This window comes from Homo sapiens, chromosome 9, assembly GCF_000001405.40.
Source record: "Homo sapiens chromosome 9, GRCh38.p14 Primary Assembly".
Lineage (NCBI taxonomy): Eukaryota > Metazoa > Chordata > Mammalia > Primates > Hominidae > Homo > Homo sapiens.
In genome coordinates this window covers 14,986,351-14,993,237 of record NC_000009.12, presented here as the reverse complement: position 1 = coordinate 14,993,237, position 6,887 = coordinate 14,986,351, and the positions used below count along the sequence as shown (strand labels likewise).

Genomic DNA, 6,887 nt, shown 5'->3' with positions numbered 1-6,887 from the left:
GCGCCAATTTAGGGAAAAGGCTCCGCCCATGCCCCGCCCCCTGAGACCTGGCGCCGGGCGCTTTGAGGCCCGGCTTACTCCCTTGCTGGGTATGGGGAAGGGGCGTCTTCTGTCCTTGTGGTCCGCTTCTAGGCTTTTTGGAGCATCTTCCAGGGTCACTCCAGAGACCCCCCCAGACTACTGAATCTGAATCCGTTAGGGTGGTCCAACCTTCCTCTTCAGGTGTCTACTAGAGGCAAGGTTGGATGTATGCGGCTGCCCTCAGTACAGCCCCTTCCTTGTTTTTTCTTCATTTGTGTTTACTTAAAACATTAATCCTTTTCTCCCTCTCCTCCATCCCTCTCCCTCCCCTACTATACAGTTATTGACTTACACTAATTCATTCCCGATGATCTCCCAGAAGGAAATAAGTGTCTGTCTGTCTCTGTCTCTGTACCATCGTCTTCTTGGTACAGTTCGGACTATTTTTTCTCTACACCCCAGTTATGCAAAGTGTAGTCCCTGAACCAGCAGCCTCAGCATCCTGAGGGAATTTGTTAAAAACGCGAAATCTCAAGCCCTACCCAGACTTACTGAATCAGTGTCTGCATTGCAACAAGATCCCCTGGTAATTCCTATGCACATCAAAATTTGGAAGGCACAGCTCTCAACTGATGTCCTGGGTCTCCTTCACATCCATCCTGGGAAGGTCTTATTCCTCATTCCTGAGGTGAGTTCCCTATTTCCTGAGTCTGTGTCTTTTTCTTGATTATATAGCCTCATGTTGTGGAACATATCCGCCAATAGTTCCTTGAGGGAGGTTGCTTCCAGGTCTTTTTTCCCACAGAGCGTGCAGGTCTGGAACTGTTTTTATTCTGGCTGAGTTCTAGGTTGAAAATAACTTTCACTCGGAATATTGGAGGGCTTGCTCCACAATATTTTAGCTTCCAAAATTGTTGAGAAACTCTACGTCATTGCATTTCCTTCTCCTTCTCAGGTCACTAAATTTCTTGTTATGTAACCCGCTTTGGTTTCGGTTTTGTTTTGTCTCAAGAAGCTTTAGGATCTTCTCTTTATACCCAGCGTTCTAAGACACAATCGAGTGTCTTTCTTATGGGTCTTTTCTCATTCCTATTGATCAGTTTTTCAATCCTGAAACACATGTTCTTCCGTTATGGGGATTCTCCTGGTATTATTTATTTGATCGTTTCTTTCCGCCCTCTCTTATTTTATCTCTTATTTTTTGAAATTTGTTATTTAGATCGTGGACCTTCTTGGCTGATGTTTTTTCTTACCTGTCTGTCCTATTTTCTATCCCTTCATCTTTTTATTCTACTTTCTCTGTGACTTTTTCAACTTAATTGGACAAATGATTATCAGATTACTTTATTTCTTTTATTATACCTTCATTTCTAAGTGCCCTTTTTATTCTCTGTTCTTTTATAGCATTACATTATTGTTTCATGAATATACCTCCTTTACTCTCTGAAGATGTAAATTATAGGAGTTTTAAAATACTTTCTACATAACTCTGCATTGATTTTGATTCTTTGAGTTTTTTTTGGTTGTTTGTTTGTTTATATTTGGTCCCTGTCGTTTCTGCTAGAGGCGTTCTTCATCTTGTGTAGTGATCCCTGCTGTCAATTTATATGTAAAAGTGATGCTCTAAAAAGGTGCTTTGGGGACATAGGCAAGGCTTGTTCACTGCTGGACAAGGTGTAAGATGGTGGGGCAAGGTGTAAGATGGTGGGGCAAGGTGTAAGATGGTGGGACAAGGTGTAAGATGGTGGGGCAAGGACCAGCTGTTTATTTTCTTCTAGAGAGTAATCTTCTAATTACTTGCTTTGAGAATATATAGCCTTCTTGGAGCCCAATGCGGGAAAGAGTTTGGGAGACTTAGTAATTTCATTATATGCACTGATGCCCTGTGTTAGTTGGGGTTCTCCAGAGAAACAGAGAATGAATAGATATCTATATCTATACCTATATCTCTATCTATCTATTAGCTCATGTGATTATGGGGGTTGAGAAGCCCCACAATCTGCTGTCTGTAAGCTGAAGACCCAGAAAGCCCATGTTGTAGTTTAAAGCCCTGATAACTGGAGATGGTGTAGATTCCAGTCCGAGTTTGGAGTCCTGCAAACCAGGATCACCGAGGGCAGGAAAAGATCAAAAATTCAGTTCAAGAAGTCTAGCAGAGAGAAAGTGAATCCTCCCTTCCTCTACCTTTTTGTTTTATTCAGACCCGAAATGGATGATGCCCACCCACATTGGTGAGGGTAATCTCTTTTACTCAGGGCCCTCACAGACACTCAGAAATATTGTTTAACCAGATATCTGGGCATCCTGTGGTCCAGTCAAGTTGACACATAAAATTAACTCTCCACCGAGCATGGTGACTCATGCCTGTAATCTCGGCACTTTGGGAGGCCAAGGAGGGTGGATCACTTGAGGTCGGGAGTTTGAGACCAGCCTGGCCAACATGGTGAAACCCAGTCTTTACTTAAAACACAAAAATTAGCCAGGCTTGGTAGCACGTGCCTGTAGTCCCAGCTACTCGGGAGGCTAAGGTACAAGAATCACTTGAACCTGGGAGGTGGAGGTTACAGTGAGCTGAGATTGCACCACTGCACTCCAGCCTGGGTGACAGAGTGAGACTCTGTCTAAAAAAAAAAAAAAAAGACCTAATTATCATGCATACCTTCACTTACAGCACTGTTTCATAATAGCATTTTTACCTTCAGCTGTGTCTGGTGTCCCTGAATCCATATCCTGGTTCCATATCTCCCAAAAGAAATAATCTTGCAGGTTTCAGGTTGGGAATGAGGGTTAGAGAAAGTTTCCCTGACTTTGCCAGGGGAGGAAATCTAGGAGTCTTAACTGCTTCTGGGACTTTTAATGGTCTCTTTTCAGCTCATCCCACTGAAGAGCTATGGCACTTCCAATTCCTGAGCCTTTGTGAGGTTCTGCGTGTCAGTAAGCTTGCTTCCGGGCATCACCTCCGAAAACACTTGGGTTTCAGTTTTCTCTGGTAAGTCCGTATGTTCACCAGTACATTAGCTCCCTAAAGCTGCCATACAATTACCACAAACTGGGTGGCTTAAAACTATGGAAATTTATTCCCTTACAGTTATGGAGGCTAGAAATCAGAAATCAGGAGGTTGGTTCCTTCTGGGGTCTCTGAGGGACAATCTGTGCCATGCCTTTGCCTTAGCTTCTGGTGACTGCTGGCAATTCTTGGCATTCCTTGGCTTGCAGATGAATCACTCCACTCTCTGCCTCTGTCATTACGTGTTCTCCCTGTGCATCTGCCTGTGTCTAACTTTCTCTCTTTTTGTAAGGACGGCAGTCATTAGATTAGGGCCCATGCTAATCAAGTATCACTTTTATGGTTTTATTATTTTTTTTATTTTTATTTTTTTGAGACGGAGTCTCGCTCTGTCGCTCAGGCTGGAGTGCAGTGGTGCCATCTCAGCTGACTGCAACCTCTGCCTCCCAGGTTCAAGCAATTCTCCTGCCTCAGCCTCCTGAGTAGCTGGGACTGCAGGCGCACACCACCATGCTCAGCTAATTTTTGTGTTTTTAGTAGAGACAGGGTTTCACCATGTTGGTCAGTCTGGTCTTGAACTCCTGACCTCAAGCGATCCACCCACTTTGGCCTCCCATAGTGCTGGGATTACAGGCGTGAGCCACCACACCCGGCCGTCACTTTATCTTATTTTGATCACATCCGCACAGACCCTATTTCCAAATAAGGTCACAGTCAATGTATCCTTTGGGAGGATGCAACTCAACCCTCGTCAACTGATTTCTAAACTTTTGTGGCATTTTTCTGTTGTCTCTTCTCCTGTTTTCTTTGTTCTTATGAGTATATGGTCCCTCTTTCCCCCTTTTTAACATTCTTTATCTTTGTTTTAGTGAGGCTTCTTAAGGAGTGGAGGAAAGTGGATGTTTTCAAGGTATGTTAACTGGAGTATTTATTATTGCTATTTTTCAGTTGAGTAGCACTAGGTTTGCAGTTGTAACCTGTAAAACTGCATTTATTATACACAATTTCAAGTTCAGAACTAAAACTTTGCTCTGAATAATAATTTTGTAACCATCTTTTGTAGAATGTGAATGAAATTTTTAATTCAAACATTTGACATTTAATGTCTTTTAGCCTGCTCGTATGTTTGCTCCACAGTGATTTTGAAGGAATGGGTAGAGTTGACCAAATTTGGTATACTTCTTCAGGTTATCAGTGTCTGTCATTTTGAAACAAAGTTATTATTAATAAATGTTTTATATCTAGTACTTACTATGCAACAGTACTATTCTTTTTTAATATTTATTTTTAATTTGCAGATAATTGTGTATACTTATAGAATACAATGTGATGTTTTGATATATGTATACACTGTGGAATGATTATATCAAACTAATTTACATATTCATCACATCAAATACCTATTATTTTTTGGAGTGAGAACATTTCAAATCTCTTCTAACAATGTTGAAATATGTAATACATTTTATTAACTATGGACACTATGTGGTGCAATAGATCTGAAAAACTTATTCCTTCTGTCTAACTAAAACTTTGTACCCTTTGATCAATATCTCTGCAGTACCCACTTCCAGCCCCCAGCCTCTGGTAACCACCATCCTACTCTTTACTTCTATAAGTTCAACTTTTTTAGATTCCACATATAAGTGAGATTATGCAGTATTTGTCTCTCTGTGACTGGCTTATTTCACTTAGCATAATATTCTCTAGTTTCATCTACACTGTCAATGATGACAGAATTTCCTTTTTTAAGACGGAATAGTATTCCATTGTATGTGTACCACATTATCCATTCATCTGTTGACGGACACTTAGGTTGGCTATTATGAATAATGCTGCAATGAACATAGATGCCCAGATATCTCTTTAACATGTTGATTGCAATTCCTTTGTATACATACTCAGGAGTGCAATTGCTGGATCATATAGTAGTTCTATTTTTAGTTTTTTGAGGAGCCTCCATACTGTTTTTCATAATGGCTGTGTTAATTTACACTCCCACCAACAGTGTACAAGGGTTCCCTTTTTCTTACATTCTCACCAACCCTTGTTATCTTTGATAATGTCTATTGCTATTGTAACAGGTGTCAGGTACTGTCTCATTGTGGTTTTAATTTGCATTTCTGTGATACCTAAGGATGTTGAGCATTTTTGAATAAACCACAATAGTACTAAGTGCTTTGCTTAAGACTAACTCATTTAAGCATCATAACAGTCCTGTGAGGTAATTTCTATTTCTACTCCATTTTACAGATAACGCAGCTAACATTCAAAGAGGTTAAGTGAATTGTCCAAAGTCACACAGCAAGCACTGGAGGTAAGATTCAAACCTGAATAGTCTATCATTTCAGAGTACTTTCAACACTATGCAATACTATCTCTCTAGCAATCAGCCAGATTGAATAAGATCTGTAGTTCACAGAGCCACTTGCATTTTTAATCCTAGTTTAATTAACTTAGGAAATTTGTATCTAAAGGATGCATCTTTTTTTTTTTTTTTTTCAATAGAGGCAGTGTCTCACCATGTTGCCCAGACTGGCCTCAAACTTCTGGGCTCAAACCATCCTCCCATCTCAGCCTTCCAAATGCTGAGATTACAGGCGTGAGCCACCACGTCCCACCGGGATACATAGGTTTTACGGTATCCTCTGAACCTCCCTTTAATCAAGAGAGTGGACAAAACTGTGGGTCCCTCATTTTCAAAATGGCCAGTAAAAGAGGAAATAAGGATATGCAATGTTTAGTTATTTTCTGCTGCCCTCTTTAAGTTGATTGGGGATCTCTTTGTCACTACTTTGGGAAGATAACTTACCTTCTTATCCACTATGGCTAATTGGAGCTTTTCTCATGTCTTTATGGTTGCTGGGAAATTTTCAAATAAAATTCACTGGGAATGGTTTGAAATTGCAGAATTTTTAGCCTCCCGATGTTTTATTTTCCTCTAGTGAGTTGGACATAAATAATATCCTCTTTTGAGATTTGTATCTTTGAAAGACATTTTTTTTTAAGTTTCTCAGTGAAACAAAGAAAAAATTAGAAGGTGGTTGGGTGCAGTGGTTCACGCCTGTAGTCCCAGCACTTTGGGAGGCCGAGGCAGGTGGATTGCCTGAGCTTAGGAGTTTGAGACCAGCTTGGGCAACATGGCAACACCCTGTCTCTACTAAAAATACAAAAATTATCTGGGCGTGGTAGCACATGCCTGTGGTCCCAGCTACTCAGGAGGCCTAGGTGGGAGGATTGCTTGAGCCCAGGAGGCAAAGGTTGCAGTGAGTCAAAACTGTGCCATTGCACTCCAGCCTGGGTGACAGAGTGAGACCCTGTCTCAAAAGAAAGAAAGAAAAAACTAGAGGGATATCAGTTTTATTAGAAAAAATAAAATAAAATAAAATAATTTTAAAAATTGCCAGTCTCCCTGGAATTAAGCCATAATATGTCCAAAGCTTTGTATCAGGTTGCTGGCTTTGCTTGGGGAGAAAATTATATTTGTTTGTGTTATTTTTCCTTTTTTGTCAAATCTGTGGTGACACAATTGTCATCAATATACTTTTAAATCTATGTCTTCATTGGGGATGATGCTAGTGAGCTTATGTGGAAAAATGATCTGTGTGGAAGCAGAATTGATAGGTGATTGCCAGCACCTTTGATTTTCTCTTAATAATTATAATATGATACTTTAAAATATGTGTTTTTATAGAAATCCATGTCAAACAAGATACATAGAATGTGATTCTGTAGAATATTAATAAATGAGAATTCAGATGTGGGCCACCAGAACTTTAGAGTGACAAGTAAAATAAGTGAAATGTAAGGATGGCATGGTTTGAGGTTCTGTAAATAAAATGCTACAGAAGAAAAGGAT

General features: G+C 40.2%; 1 long non-coding RNA gene across 3 annotated transcripts; it reads left to right on the top strand.

Moving 5' to 3' along the window:
- Positions 1-42: 42 nt before the first annotated feature.
- Positions 43-5,937, top strand: LOC105375980 (uncharacterized). Of its 3 annotated transcripts, none has more exons than XR_929491.3 (5): positions 43-89; positions 484-709; positions 2,893-3,010; positions 3,898-3,938; positions 5,282-5,937. It is a non-coding gene; the product is annotated as an uncharacterized LOC105375980 (long non-coding RNA). The 3 variants fall into 3 exon arrangements; XR_007061422.1 differs by adding an exon at positions 1,986-2,252 and having other exon boundaries at positions 43-709; XR_929488.4 differs by having other exon boundaries at positions 43-709.
- The last annotated feature ends 950 nt before the right edge of the window (positions 5,938-6,887 follow it).